We start from the raw sequence: 16,358 nt of genomic DNA, 5'->3' as shown, positions 1-16,358 counted from the left end.
CATGAACTCATCATTTTTTATGGCTGCATAGTATTCCATGGTGTATATGTGCCACATTTTCTTAATCCAGTCTATCATTGTTGGACATTTGGGTTGGTTCCAAGTCTTTGCTATTGTGAATAATGCTGCAATAAACATACGTGTGCATGTGTCTTTATAGCAGCATGATTTATAATCCCTTGGGTATATACCCAGTAATGGGATGGCTGGGTCAAATGGTATTTCTAGTTCTAGATCCCTGAGGAATGGCCACACTGATTTCCACAATGGTTGAACTAGTTTACAGTCCCACCAACAGTGTAAAAGTGTTCCTATTTCTCCACATCCTCTCCAGCACCTATTGTTTCCTGACTTTTAAATGATTGCCATTCTAACTGGTGTGAGATGGTATGAAAATCTTATGAAGCATTTTTTGTGACTATTTTCATGAGGTGAGGGATATTGGTTTGTAGTTTTCTTCTTTTACATCTGTCTGATTTTGATATCAGGGTAACGCTGACATCAAAGAATGAGTCAGGAATTGCTCCTTCCTCTTCAACTTTTTGGAAAAGTTTGTGAGCTATTAGTATTATTTCTTTTTCTGTTTTGTTTTTTTGAGATGGAGTCTTACTCTGTCATCCAGGCTGGAGTGCAATGGTGTGGTCTCGGCTCACTGCAACCTCTGCCTGCCGGGTTTGAGCAGTTCTCCTGCCTCAGCCTACCAAGAAGCTGGGACTACAGGTGCGTGCCACCACACCCGGCTAATTTTTGCATTTTCAGTAGAGACGGGGTTTCACTATGTGGGCCAGGCTGGTCTTGAATTCCTGACCTCGTGATATGCCCACCTCGGCCTCCTAAACTGCTGGGATTACAGGTGTGAGCCACCGTTGCCCAGCCTAGTTTTTCTTTCTTTCTTTTCTTTCTTTCTTTCTTTTCTCTTTCTTTCTTTCTTTCTTTCTTTCTTTCTTTCTTTCTTTCTTTCTTTCTTTCTTTCTTTCTTTCTTTCTTTCTTTCATTCCTTCCTTCCTTCCTCCCTCCGTCCCTCCCTCCCTCCCTCCTTCCTCCTTCCTTCCTTCCTTCTTTCTTTCTTTTTTCTTTTTTTTTTTTTTTAGACGGAGTCTTGCTCTGTCGCCCAGGAGACTGGAGTGCAGTGGCACCATCTCGGCTCACAGTAACCTCTGCCTCCGGGGTTCAAGCAATTCTCTGCCTCATACTCCCAAGTACCTGGGATTACAGTCACCCACCAATATGCCCAGCTAATTTTTTGTATTTTTAGTAGAGATGGGGTTTCACCATCTTGGGCAGGTCAGTCTCCAACTCCTGACCTCAAGTGATCCACCCGCCTCGGCCTCCCAAAGTGCTGGGATTACAGATGTGAACCACCGTGCCCGGCCTAGTATTATTTCTTTTTTTTTTTTTGAGACAGAGTCTCACACTGTCGCCCGGGCTGGCATGCAGTGACACAATCTTGGCTCACTGCAACCTCTGCCTCCCAGGTTCAAGCAATTCTCCTGTCTCAGCCTCCCAAGTAGCTGGGATTACAGGTGCCCACCACCATGCCCGGCTAATTTTTTGTATTTTTAGTAGAGACGGGGGTTTCACTATGTTGCCCAGGCTGGTCTTGAACGCCTGACCTCATGATCCACCCTCCTTGGCCTTCCAAAGTGCTGGGATTACAGGCTTGAGCCACTGCACCTGGCGTATTTATTTCTTAACCACCATACTATGTATTAGTTGTGATGTTATTCTTTATCACTTGGCTTGGCCAACTTTGTCTCCCGTCTCCTGTGTTCTTGACTTAAGTTAGATTTGCTACAACTGCATCACCTCTTTTTCTGATTCCAGTATTTCCATACTTAACGTTTGATTATTCCTTTTTAAATTAAAAAAAAAATTAATTGGGCCAGCCACGATGGCTCACGCCTGTAATCCCAGCACTTTGGGAGGCCAAGGCAGGTGGATCACCTGAGGTTAGGAGTTTGAGACCAGCCTGACCAACATGGTGAAACCCCGTCTCTACTAAAAATACAAAATTAACTGGGTATTGTGGCGCATGCCTGTAATCCCAGCTACTTGGGAGGCTGAGGCAGGAGAATCGCTTGAACCCAGGAGGCCGATGTTGCCGTGAGCCAAGATCATGCCATTGCACTCCAACCTGGGCAATAAGAGCGAAACTCCGTCTAAAAAAAAAAATTAATTGTGGTAAAATATACATAAAATTTACTGCCTTAATTATTTTTAAGTATATAGTACAATAGTTTTAAGTGTGAATATATATTGCCATACATTATTTTGCAACCAAAGTCAGAACTATTTCACCTTTCAAAACTGAAGTTCTATATCCATTAAACAACAATATCCATTTCCCTTTCTCCTTATCCCCTAAAAACCACAACTGTACTTAGTTTCTATGAATTCAACTATTCTAGATACCTCATTTAAGTGGAATCATAAAGTATTTGTCTTTTTATGACTGGCTTATTCACTCAGCATAGTCTGTTCAAGGTTCATCCATATTGTAGTGTATGTCAAAATATCCTTCAATTTTAAGGCTGAATAACATTCTATTATGTATATTTTAAAATTAAATTAAGTTGGCCGGGCACGGTGGCTCACGCCTGTAATCCTAACACTTTGGGAGGCAGAGGCAGATGGATCATGAGGTCAGGAGTTCAAGACCAGCCTGGCCAAGATGGTGAAACCCCGTCTCTACTAAAAAATACAAAAATTAGCTGGGCATGGAGGCAGGCGCCTGTAACCCCAGCTACTCTGGAGGCTGAGGCAGGAGAATCACTTGAACCCTGAGGTGGAGTTTGCAGTCAGCCGAGATCATGCCACTGCACTCTAGCCTAGGTGACAGAGTAAGATTCTGCCTCAAAAAAAAAAATTAAATTGAATTAAATTTTATTTTTTTGAGATGAAGTCTCGCTCTGTTGCTCAGGCTGGAGTGCTGTGGTGCAATCTTGGCTCACTGTAACCTCCATCTCCTGGGTTCAAGCGATTCTTCTGCCTCAGTCTCCCAAGTAGCTGGGATTACAGGCACCCGCCACCATGCCTGGCTAATTTTTGTGTTTTTTAGTGCAACGTGAGGTTTCATCGTGTTGGCCAGCGTGGTCTCAAACCCCTGACCTCAAGTGACCTGCCCACCTCAGCCTCCCAAAGTGCCGGGATTACAGGCATGAGTCACTGTGCCTGGCCTCCATTGTGTATATATATAAATATATACCACATTTTGTTTATCCATTTATCTGTCAATGGGCACTTGGGTTACTTCTACCTCTTGGTTATTGTGAATAACGACACTATGAGCATGAGTGTACAAATATTTCTTAGGGACCCTGCTTATAATTCTTTTGGATGTATACACAGAGAACAATTGCTAGATCATATAGTGATACTATTTTTAATATCTGGAGGAACTGTCATCCTTTTCTTCACAGCAGCTGCACAATATTACATTCCTACCAGCAGTGCACAGGGTTCCAATTTTGCACAGCCTCACCCACACTTGTTATTTTCTGTTTTTTTCATAGTAGCCATCTTAATGGGTATGAAGTAGTATATCATTGTGGTTTTGATTTACATTTTCCTAATTACTAGTTACGTTGAACATATTTTCATATATTTTTGGGCCATTTGTATATCTTTTTTGGATCCTTTGCCCATTTTAAAATTGGTTTATTTGGGTTTTTGTTTTTGTTTTTTGGGGGGTATGGAGTGTCACTCTGTCGCCTAGGATGGAATGCAGTGGCACAATCTCGGCTCACTGCAACCTCTACCTCCCAGGCTCAAGTGATTCTTGTGCCTCAGCCACCCAAGTAGCTGGGATTACAGGAGTGTGCCACCATGCCTGGCTAAGTTTTGCTTTTTTTTTTTTTTTTTTTTTTTTGAGATGGAGTCTCGCTCTGTCGCCCAGGCTGGGGTGCAGTGGTGCAATCTCTGCTCACTGCAAGCTCCGCCTCCCGGGTTCACGCCATTCTCCTGCCTCAGCCTCCCGAGTAGCTGGGACTACAGGCGCCCACCACCACGCCCGGCTAATTTTTTGTATTTTTAGTAGAGACGGGGTTTCACTGTGTTAGTCAGGATGGTCTCGATCTCCTGACCTCATGATCCACCCTCCTCGGCCTCCCAAAGTGCTGGGATTACAGGCGTGAGCCACCGCGCCCGGCCTAAATTTTGCATTTTTAGTAGGGATGGGGTTTCACAGTGTTGGCCAGGCTGGTCTCAAACTCCTGACTTCAACTGATCTGTCCACCTCAGCCTCCCAAAGTCCTGGGATTATAGGGGTGAGCCACCAGTGCACAGCCTATTTGGGTTTTTTGGTTTTTCTTTTTTTGACATTGAGTTTGTACAAGTTATTTATATATTGTGGATATTAACCCTTAGTGGATATACAATTTGCAAATATTTTCTCCCATTTCCTAGGTTGACTTTTCAATCTGTTGATTTTTGTCCTTTGACAAACAAATGTTTTTAACTTTGATATAGTCCATTTATCTTTTTTTTTTTTTTTTTTGAGACGGAGTCTCACTCTGTCGCCCAGGCTGAGGCTGGAGTGCAGTGGCTCGATCTCAGCTCACTGCAACCTCTGCCTCCCGGGTTCAAGTAATTCTCCTGCCTCAGCCTCCCGAGTAGTTGGGTCTACAGGCGCCCACCACCATGCCTGGCTAATTTTTTTTGTATTTTTAGTAGAGACGGGGTTTCACCATGTTAGCCAGGATGGTCCGATCTCCTGACCTCGTGATCCGCCTGCCTCAGCCTCCCAGAGTGCTGGGATTACAGGAGTGAGCCACCGTGCCCAGCCCATTTATCTATTTTTACTTTTGTTGCATGTGATTTTGTGTCATGTCACCAAGAAATCATTGCCAAATCCAATGCCATGAAGCCTTTCTCCTATGTTTTCTTCTAAGTGTTTTATAAGTGTTAGGTCTTTAATCTATTTTGAGTTTAATTTTTTATATGATATAAGATAAGGATCCAACTTCATTCTTTCATGTGTAGGTATTCAGTTTTCCCACCAACATTTGTGTGTGTTTTTTTTTTTTTTAAAAGACTGTCCTTTCCTCATTGGATGGCCTTAGAATCCTTATGGAAAATAATTTAACCTTATGCTATGAATATACTATACTATACACATACTGTTAACTTGGTGTTTATTTATGGGCTCTCTATTCTATTCCATCAGGTTATATGTCTGTCGTTATGCCTGTACCACATTATTTTGATTAATGTAGCTTTGGAATAAGTTTGAAATCAGAAAATGTGGGATCTCCAACTTTGTTATTCTTTTTCAAGATTGTTTCAGCCATTCAGGATCCCTTGAGATTCCATGTAAATTTTAGGATGAATTTTTCTATTGCTGCAAAAGAAAAAAAAGCCATTGGGATTTTGATAGGGATTGCATTAATCTGTAGATTGGTTTGGGTAGTATTGACATCTTAACAATATTAAATATTCCAATCCATAAACATGTGATATCTTTCCATTTACTTGTGTTTTCTTTAATTTCTCTCAGTAACATTTTGTAGTGAAAACAACAAGTCTTTTACCTCCTTGGGTAAGTTTATTTCTAAATTTATTATTATTATTTAAAATATTTATTTATTTATTTTTGAGACAGAGTCTTGCTCTGTTGCCCAGGCTGGAATGCAGTGGCGCAATCATGGCTCACTACAGGATCCACCTCCCGGGTGAAGAAATTCTCCTGCCTCAGCCTCCTGAGTAGCTGGGATTATAAATGCCCACCACCATGCTGGCTAATTTTTGTATTTCTAGTAAAGATGGGGTTTCACCATGTTGGCCAGGCTTGTCACGAACTCCTGACCTCAAGTGATCCACCTGTCTCGGCCTCTCAATATTATTATTTTTGAGACAGAGTCGCTCTCTGTTACCCAGGCTGGAGTGTAGTGGCGTGATCTCAGCTCACTGCAACCTCTGCCTCCCAGGTTCAAGTGATTCTCCCACCTCAGCCTCCTGAGTAGCTGGGATTACAAACACCCACCATCATAGCTGAATAATTTTTGTATTTTTGTAGACACAGGGTTTCACCATGTTGGCCAGGCTGGTCTTGAACTCCCAACCTCAGGTGATCCACCCGCCTCGGCCTTCCAAAGTGCTGGGATTACAGGCATGAGCTGCGATTTCTAAATATATTATTATTTTTGATGCTATTATAAATGGCATTGTTTTCTTAATTTCTTTTTCATATTGCTCAGTGTTAGTGTAGTTAGCAAAGTGACTGATTTGTATGTATGTTTTACCCTGCAACTTTGCTGAATTTATTGTTCTAATAGTGTGTTTGTGTGTGTGTGTGTGTGTGTGTGCACGCACATGCACACAGAGGGTAATCCTTAGGGCTTTCTACATATATAGAGTTTTCTACATATGTAGGGTTTCTACAATTTAAGATCATGTTATCTATGAACAGAGATAATTTTACTTTTTCCTTTCCAAATTGTGTGCCTTTTATTTCTTTTCTTTTTTTTTTTTTTTTTTTGAGACAGAGTCTCGCTCTGTCTCCCAGGCTGGAGTGCAGTGGCACAGTCTCAGCTCATGCAAGCTCTGCCTCCCAGGTTCACGCCATTCTCCTGCCTCAGCCTCCCGAGTAGCTGGGACTACAGGCACCTGCCACCATGCCCAGCTATTTTTTTGTATTTTTAGTAGAGACGGGGTTTCACAGTGTTAGCCAGGATGGTCTCGATCTCCTGACCTCATGATCCGCCTGCCTCGGCCTCCCAAAGTGCTAGGATTACAGGCGTGAGGCACCGTGTCTGGCCTTTATTTCTTTTTCTTGCCTGATTGTCTAGGACTTCCAATACCAGGTTAGATAGATGGTGAATGTGGGCATCCTTGCCTTGTTCCTAATCTTGGAGGAAAAACTTTCAGTCTTTCACTGTTGAATATATTATAACCTGTGGGCTTTTCGTATATGGCCTTTATTATGTTGAAGAAGTTTTCTTCTATTTCTAGTTTCTTTTGTATATGTTTTTTGTTTGTGTTAAGACCGGGGCTCACTCTGTCACCAAGGCTGGAGTGCAGTGGCATAATCATGGCTTACTGCAGCCTTGACCTCCCAGGTTCAAGTAATCCTCCCACCTCAGCCTCCTGACTAGCTGTAACTATAAGCACACACCACCATACCTGGCTGATATTTTTTATTTTTTGTAGAGCCAGGGTTTCACCATGTTGCTCAGGCTGGTCTCGAACTCCTGGACTCAAGTGAAACTTCTGCCTTGGCCTCTCAAAGTGCTGGGATTACAGGCGTGAGCTACTGTGCCCAGCCTCTTGTGTATTTTTTTTTTTTAATAATGAAAGGGTGTTAAATATTTTCAAATGCTTTTTCTGTATCAATTGTGATGATCACGTTTTTTTTTTTTTTTTTTTTTTGGTCATTCTATTCATTTGGCACATTGCATTGATTGATTTACATATATTTAATCATCCTTGCATTCCAGAAATAAATCTCACTTGATCGTGGTGTATAATCCCTTTAACATGCTGTTGAATTCTGTTCACTAGTATTTTGCTAAGGTTTTCTGTATCAATATTCATCAGGCATGTTTGTATTTAGTTTTCTTATTTTGTAGTGCCTTTGTCTGGCTTCGATATACGTTGGCCTCAAAGGATGAGTTGGGAAGTGTTTCTTCCTCTTCACTTTTCTGGGAGAATTTATGAGGAGTTAGTAGTATCTTTTCTTTGTTCACTGTGCTATGTGTTAGCTTGTAATGTTATTCTTCATCATTTGGTTTAGCAAACTTTGCCTTGGCTCACCTGTGTTCCTGACTTAAATTATTATTTGCTGTAACAGCAAATACACCTAACATCAGAATACTCATTTTGCATGATGATTTGTTTGGCAAAATCCAAATCTTATTCTTTTTTTTTTGTTTCAAGTATTAATCAAAGCTCGTATATAAGATTACTTTATTCCTACATCTTCTCAATTGTTTCTTCCTTGTATTTGCTCTTTTCCTTTCCTACTTGGCGAGATTTGGCTTTCTGTTCAAGGATCTTTTTGCGGTCTTTGTCCAGTTTTAGCCTAGTGATACCCACCTTGCTGGGGCGAGGGCCCACATGGACAGTTGTGCCATTAGCCTTTTTCCACTGCACCCGTTCAATGTAGATAATATATTTCTTCCTGTAAACCTGGACTACTTTGCCAATTTGCTGACCTTTATGGTGTCCTCATACAACCTGAACTTCATCATTCTTTCAGATGGGCACGGATCACATGTTGTACTTCTGTCTCAGCTCTTCGGAAAGAGGGGAAGACATAATCTTCCTGCGAATGTGGGAAGGTGTATTGAAATGCCTTTTGTGATTCTTGCTTCAGTCGGAAGTCACAAAGGGACTGAACTTCATTTTGGCCACTCCGGCTTTGGAGATGGCGGCAAAAGGGAAGAGAACTACACACTTATCTTACTCTTATTATACGGACTGTAGAGAAAGTTCAGTTTGTCTGAAGCCAAAATGAAAGAATAATAAAGTTGGAAGGGGTGAACCAGTGGTTCTTAACTGTCAGATTTACTGTGCCTTTAAAAAATATTTTTAACATTCTCTTTATTCCTCTAAAATGATATTCACAGATAAACTACCTATACTTTAAAAATTAATATGTGTGAGTATAAGTAAAAGGAAAGCAATTTATAATAACATGCATTTCAGTGTGTAAATCCTAGGTCAAACTTCACTAGAAGTAGACCGAGGCTTGCATTGATACATAAAATTAAAATAAATATGAAAGACACAAATGGAGGCTGATACAAATTCAGTTTTATTGTACTGGCACTAAATACTATTATCACTAGTGCATTGCTGTTGGTATTGTGGTGTTCCAGAATGGTGAAATTTTCTTGGAGAAATTTTAAAGAACATTTTTTTATTGATTTACGTAGTATTTGTATTCCTGGAAATTGCAGTGTATCATTAAATTGGGCAAAAAACACATGGTGTTAATTTTTTTTTTTTTTTTTTTGAGACGGAGTTTCACTCTTGTTGCCCAGGCTGGAGTGCAATGGTGCGATCTCGGCTCACTGCAACCTTTACCTCCTGGGTTCAAGACATTCTCCTGCCTCAGCTTCCTGAGTAGCTGGAATCACAGGCATCCACCACAATGCCTGGCTATTTTTTGTATTTTTAGTAAAGACGGGGTTTCACCATGCTGGCCAGGCTGGTCTCGAACTCCTGACCTCAGGTGATCCACCCACCTCGGCCTCCCAGAGTGCTGGGATTACAGGCATGAGCCACCATGCCTGGCCAAAAAAAATTTTATTTTTTAGAGGCAGGATCTCACTTTGTCACCCAGGCTGGTCTTGAATGCATGGCTTCCAGAGATCCTCCCGCTTTGGTCTCCCAAAGCACTTGGATTACAGGCGTGAGACACTGCTCTTGGTCTGTGTTTATATTTTATATTATTTTATTTTTATTTTTATTTTATTTATTTATTTATTTATTTTTAGACAGTGTCTTGCTCTGTCGCCTAGGCTGGAGTGCAGTGGCGTGATCTCGGCTCACTGTAAGCTCCACCTCCCGGGTTCATGCTATTCTCCTGCCTCAGCCTCCCCAGTAGCTGGGACTACAGGCACCCGCCACCACGCCCAGCTAATTTTTTGTATTTTTTTTTAGGAGAGACAGGGTTTCACCGTGTTGGCCAGGATGGTCTCGATCTCCTGACCTCGCGATCTGCCCTCCTCAGCCTCCCAAAGTGCTGGGATTACAGGCGTGAGCCACCGCACCCAGCCTTGTGTTTATATTTTAAAAGGAGTTTGGTTTAAGACTTGGATAATTATAAACAGATTTTTTTTTTCCTACATGAATTCCGGTGAGACACACAAAAGTCACACAGGATTTGAGACAGTTCTTCACTGTGTGATACTGTCCACTGCACTGTAGGGTGGGCTAGCATTCCTTAGTACCCTCTACTAAATGCCAGTAGTCCATCCTCACAATTATTATGACAACCAAAAATGATTTCACAAATTTCCAAGTGCCATATATGAGGTAGTAATTACATCCGTAAAAAATTTCTAGGATAGAGTGAAGAAAAGAGATTTGCTGATAAAATTCTTTCTCTTCCCCATATACTCAATGTACTAAGCTAATAAGTGGTAAGATTCTTGAGCAAAGGAGATAATGAAAGAAAAGTATGTTTGAGGCATAGTCTGATAACTGCTTTCCAGGTAAGAAAGGAAAAAAGAAGCAACTTGCATTTTTTTCTGTTTTCTTTTTCTTTCTTTCTTTCTTTTTTTTTTTTAGCAGCTACAGCTTATAAAGCACTTTCACAAATTTTATACACTTCACATCAACTGTGTATTTAGTATCTCCATCATTTTACAGAGGCGGCAGAGGGAGCTCAGACATGCCGTGATTTATTAAAAGTCATTTTAATGAAAGACCTAGAGTTAAGATCCAGATATGGCTTCAAACCCAATGCTCTTTCCATTATATCATAGCATTGCTAGGATGATGAAGGCAGAAAAAGGAATTTTTTTTTAAGAGGGAAAATTTGAGACTCACAATAAAAGCTAGAATTAGCAAGACTTTAATTGGATAGCTTTAAATTAACTGTCACTGACGTTCTGAGAAGAAAGATGACCAAAGCTTCTTTTCAAACTGAAGATTAATACATGCCCCCTTCTTATTCTGACAGGACATTGATATGCAGCTGAGTGAAATAATGAACAATGTGCATCGGATAATGACTCGCTATACTCTTGTTTTTAACTCGTCCTCTGAAAGGAATGTCTCCCTTACAGAACATAAGAAAAAACAGAGAACCAATTTTCTTGAGAAAATGGCTACTTACGCTAAGACTATTGAAATAAGAGAAAAGACTCTTGCCAACATTCTGGCCTGGTTGGAAGAATGGAGTAAGTTTACAGAAGCGGTTCAGAGGAAAACCATAAAGTTAATGAAAAAGAGAAGAGAATATATAAGTAAATTTTGAAGGATTAATCAGATTAAAGAAGAAAAGACTAAGGAGGTTATTCAGAGAATGGTTATCCTCTATTCCAGTAGGAATAAAATAGGAAAAATATAGGCTTATTCACTTAGTGCCAGCTATGCTGGCCTCCTTGCTTTTTTTAAAGCATGCCAGCCGTGTTTTTATGCATACTATTCCCTTATCTGGAGCATCTTCCACCAGATGGACACATGGCTCATTCCCTGCTTAAATTCCACTTTAAAATGAGATGTTCTCTGACCATCCCCATTCCCTACCACCTGGCACTTTTCCTTACACTTTACCCTTTTTTTTTTTTTTTTTTTTTTTGAGACAGGTTCTCACTGTGTTACCCAGACTGGAGTGCAGTGGCGCGATCTCAGCTCAAGGCAACTCCCGCCTCCCAGGCTCAAGCGATTCTCCTGCCTCAGCCTCCCTAGTAGCTGGGACCAGAGGCATGCAGCACCACGCCCGGCTAATTTTTGTATTTTTAGTAGAGACAAGGTTTCACCATGTTGGCCAGGCTGGTCTTGAACTCCTACCTCAAATGATCCACCTGCCTTGGCTTCCCAAAGTGCTGGGATTACAGGCATGAGCCACTGCGCCTGGCCTACCTTTCTTTATTTTTGTCTATAGCATTAGTATCTGACTTCCTATATAATTAACCTTTTCTCTCTCTCCTTTCACCAGAAGGTAAGCAGTATGAAGTTAGGGAACTTGTTTTACTTAATGTTGTATCCACAGCATCTAGAATAGCACACGTCAGAGTAGACACTGGTTGAATGAAAGAATGAATAAACTGGCCAGGTGCGGTGGCTCACGCCTGTAATCCTAGCACTTTGGGAGGCCAAGGCAGGTGGATTGCCTGAGCTCAGGAGTTCAAGACCAGCCTGGGCAACACGGTGAAACCTCGTCTCTACTAAAATACAAAAAATTAGCTGGGTGTGGCGGCATATGCCTCTATTCCCAGCTACTCGGGAGGCTGAGGCAGGTGTACTGTTTGAACCCGGGAGGTGGAGATTGCAGTGAGCCAAGGTCGTGCCACTGCACTCCAGCCTGGGTGACAGAGTGAGACTGTCTCCAAAACAACAACAAAAACAACAACAACAACAAAAAGAATGAATAAACTAAGAATATCAAAAAAGGGAATTTTATTTTGTTGCTAGAAATTTCATGCAGCGAGGGTTAGAAATACTGGATAATGGCCGGGCGCGGTGGCTCATGCTGGTAATCCCAGCACTTTGGGAGGCCGAGGCTGGCAGATCACCCCAGGTCAGGAGTTTGAGACCAGCCTGGCCAACATGGTGAAACTCCATCTCTACTAAAAATTCAAAAATTAGCTGGGTGTGGTGGCACACACCTCTGGTCCCAGCTACTAGGGAGGCTGAGGCAGGAGAATCGCTTGAACCTGGGAGGTAGAGGTTGCACTGAGCTGAGATTGCACCACTGCACTCCAGCCTGGGTGACAGAGCCAGACTCGTTCTTAAAAAAAAAAAAAAAAAAAAGACAACTGGATAAACTTGCCAAATGAGTTAATTGGGGCTTAGATCTCCAATATTAAAACACACACACATAGGCCGGGTGTGGTGGCTCATGCCTGTAATCCCAGCACTTTGGGAGGCTGAGGCGGGCAGATCACCTGAGGTCAGGAGTTCAAGACCAGCCTGGCCAACATGGTGAAACCCCGTCTTTACTAAAAATACAAAAATTAGCTGGGCATGGCGGCACATGCCTGTAATCCCAGCTACTCGGGAGGCTGAGGCAGGAGAATCGCTTGAACCTGGGAGGCAGAGGTTGCAGTGAGTGGAGATTGCGCCTCCGCACTCCAGCCTAGGCAACAAAGCAAGACTCTGTCTCAAAACAAAACAAAACAAAACACACACACACACATTTTAGGTACCAAACCAAATAGACACTTTTTAATCTGATTCATGTCTTTATGTCTAAGACTTACTATTTAGCCTTCTATTCCAAGTTTCTTCCTTTTTAATTTCTTCATAGAGAAAAGCCTCAGAATGGCAGTAAGTGTGAGATACCTATATTCCCCAATATTACTGTATTGAGTAGTTACCCAATATTATAAGCCTATGTAGCTATAGTTATTTATTTTTCTGCACAAAAATGATTTTTTTTTTACTCTCTTCAAGATGATGTTTTGTCTGAGATGACTCTAATGGATGTTGATGAACACCACCACTGGATAGCACAAATGGAGTTGTTACCGGACACGTTAAAAGCTATTGAGAACAATGTCAAGATACTAAGCAGATTTAGTACATCTTTCCTCGACGAAAAGAAGAAACAAAAGAAAAAAATATGTAAGGGTGCTTTATGATTTTGGAGTTGGAGTAGATGGAGTTTGACTTTTTCTTAGAGAAACAACTTTTTTTTTTTTCAGTCTCGCTCTATCACCCAGGCTGGTGTGCAGTGGCCTGATCTCAGTTCAATGCAACCTCCACCTCCAGGTTTCAGGTGATTCTCCTGCCTCAGCCTCCAGAGTAGCTGGAACTACAGACGTGTACCACCACGCCTGGCTAATTTTTGTATTTTTAGTAGAGACAGGGTTTCACCATGTTGGCCAGGCTAGTCTCAAATTCCTGACCTCAAGTTATCCACCTGCCTCGGCCTTCCAAAGTGCTGGGATTACAGGCGTGAGCCACTGCACCCAGCCAAAAAAAAAAACAGCTTTATTGAGGTATAATGTGCATACATGTTAAGTGTACAATTAAATGATTTTCTGTGTATTTACAGAGTTGTGCATTTATCACCACAATCTAATTTTATTTTTATTTATTTTAAATTTATTTATTAATTTTTTTTTTTTTTTTTTGAGACAGGGTATCACACTGTTACCCAGGCTGGAGTGCAGTGGCCAGATCTCAGTTCACTGCAACCTCCACCTCTTGGGTTCAAGCGATTCTTGTGCCTCAGCTCCCCGAGTAGCTGGGATTACAGGCACCTGCCACCACGCCTGGCTAATTTTTTGTACTTTTTGTAGAGACAGGGATTTTACCATGTTGGCCAGACTGGTTTCAAACTCCTGACCTCAAATGATCCACCAGCCTTGGCCTCCCAAAGTGCTGGGATTACAGGTGTGAGTCACAGCACCCGGCCAACAATCTAATTTTAGAACATTTCCATTATCCCGAAAAGATCCCTCATACTAATTTATAGTCAGTCCTTTTACCCATCAGCAGCACCACACAGTCACTAATGTATTCTCTCTCACACTACATTTGTTTTATCTGGATATTTCACACAAACAGAATCATATTGTATTGTGGTATTTTCTGTCTATTTTCTTTCAACTAGCATAATGTTTTTGAAATTCAGCCATGTTATAGGGCATTTTGGTAATTTCTTTTCATTGTTAGTTTACACAGTTGTTTGGATATACCACATTTTGTTTACCCATTCACCAGTTGATATACATATGAATTGTTTCCACTTTGGGGCTTTTATAAATAATGCCATTATTTACCCATTTTTTTTGGGGGGGTAGATAGCTAGGAGTCGAATTGCTAGGACATATGGTAAGTTTATGTTTAACTTTTAAAGAAACTCTTAACTGTTTTCCAAAGTGACTGTACCATTTTACACTCTCATCAGCAATGTACACAGGTTCCAATTTCTCCATTTCCTCAACAACACTTGTTATTGTCTGTCTTTTTTTTTGAGACGGAGTTTCACTCTTGTTGCCCAGGCTGGAGTGCAGTGGTGTGATCTCAGCTCACTGCAACCTCCACCTCCCGGGTTCAAGTGATTCTCCTGCCTCAGCCTCCCTAGCAGCTGGGATTACAGGCACGTGTCACCACGCCCTGCTAATTTTGTATTTTTAGTGGAGATGGGGTTTCTCCATGTTGGTCAGGCTGGTCTCAAACTCCTGACCTCAGGTGATCCACCCGCCTCTGCCTCCCAAAGTGCTGGGATTACAGGCACCCGGCCTCTGTCTGTCTTTTTTTTTATTATGGCCATCCTAGTACCTGTGAAGTGGTATCTCATTGTGGTTTTAGTTTGCATTTTCCTAATGGCAAATGATGCTGAGCATGTTTCATGTGCTTATTAAGCTATTTCCATACATTTTTTGGTGAAATATCTATTCAAGTACTTGCCCATTTTTGAAATTGAGTTTTAACTTTTTTTTTTTTTTTGAGACAGAGTCTTACTCTGTCGCCCAGGTTGGAGTGCAGTGGTGTGATCTCAGCTCACTACAACCTCCACCTCCTGGGTTCAAGCGATTCTCCTGCCTCAGCCTCCCGAGTAGCTGGGATTACAGGCGCATGCCACCACGCATGGTTAATTTTTGTATTTTTAGTAGAGATGGAATTTCACCATCTTGGCCAGGCTGATCTTGAACTCCTGACCTCGTGATCCACCCTCCTCGGCCTCCCAAAGTGCTGGGATTATAGGCATGAGCCACTGCGCCTGGCCGAGTTTTAACATTTCTTTACAGCTTCTGGATATAGGTTTTTGTTTTGTTTTGTTTTGTTTTTGACAGGATTTTGCTCTGTCGTCCAAGCTGGGGTGCATTGGTACAATAATAGTACACTGCCGCCTGGAATTCCTGGGCTCAAGGGATCCTCCTGCCTCAGTCTCCTGAGTAGCTGGGACTACAGGTGTGTGCTACCACACCCAGCTAATTTTTAAAAACTTTTTGTAGAGACAGAGTCTCATCGTGTTGTCCAGGCTAGTCTCAAACTCCTGAGCTCAAACGATCCTCCTGCCTCAGCCTCCCAAAGTTCTGGGATTATAGGCATGAGTCACCACACCTCGCTGGATATAAGTCCTTTATCAGAAAAGTGATTTGCAAATATTTTCTCCCTGCCTATGACTTGTCTTTTCATTTTCTTAGTGGTGTTTTTGAAGCCTAAAAGTGTTTAATGTTGATGAAATCCAATAAATGTATCAATTTTTTTTTATGAATCATGATTTTAGTATTGTACTAAGAACTCGTATCACTCAGGGTTCAATAAGAGAGGCAGAAGAATTAGTATGACATTATATATAATCCTTATATATATGTAGATTCCATTGCAATTGGGAAACATACTTTGTATGATTTCTTTTCATTTATTTATTTATTTATTTATTTATTTATGAGACAGTCTCACTCCGTCACCCAGGCTGGAGTGCAGTGGCGTGATCTCGACTCACTGCAATGTCTGCCTCCTGGGTTCAGCGATTCTCCTGCCTCAGCCGACAATGCCACTAGGCATGGGCTTTTCCAGGCTTTGCTCCAAGTCAAATCATCCCTGTAGGCAGTAGAGTTGTCAGTCCCCACAGCCTGCCTCACTCTGGTAGAAGTTCCAGGCCATGGATCTGGCGGTTGAGGATGGACGCGACTCCAAGTTTGCAAACTTTCCCTGTTTGTTACTGAGGTTCGGTAGTTTTTCGTGAATAAATGCTTCTCAATGTGTTGTATGCCTTTGGTCAATTTCAA

At 41.7% G+C, this 16,358-nt stretch overlaps 1 protein-coding gene and 1 pseudogene across 1 annotated transcript in view; one reads left to right on the top strand and one right to left on the bottom strand.

Annotated features, from left to right (window-relative positions):
• FAM186A (family with sequence similarity 186 member A) overlaps nucleotides 1-16,358 on the top strand; it is a 69,301-nt gene that overhangs the window by 22,618 nt on the left and 30,325 nt on the right. The window contains exons 2-3 of the mRNA NM_001145475.3: nucleotides 10,628-10,847; nucleotides 13,066-13,236. Of these exons, the coding sequence (NP_001138947.1) occupies nucleotides 10,628-10,847; nucleotides 13,066-13,236 (391 nt within the window). The remainder of the gene's footprint in view (nucleotides 1-10,627; nucleotides 10,848-13,065; nucleotides 13,237-16,358) is intronic.
• Nucleotides 7,862-8,382, bottom strand: RPL26P33 (ribosomal protein L26 pseudogene 33; annotated as a pseudogene).

Source organism: Homo sapiens, chromosome 12 (assembly GCF_000001405.40).
Source record: "Homo sapiens chromosome 12, GRCh38.p14 Primary Assembly".
In the NCBI taxonomy this organism is placed as follows: domain Eukaryota; kingdom Metazoa; phylum Chordata; class Mammalia; order Primates; family Hominidae; genus Homo; species Homo sapiens.
The sequence above is the reverse complement of the archived record's forward strand: the minus strand, read 5'-3'. Positions and strand labels throughout refer to the sequence as shown.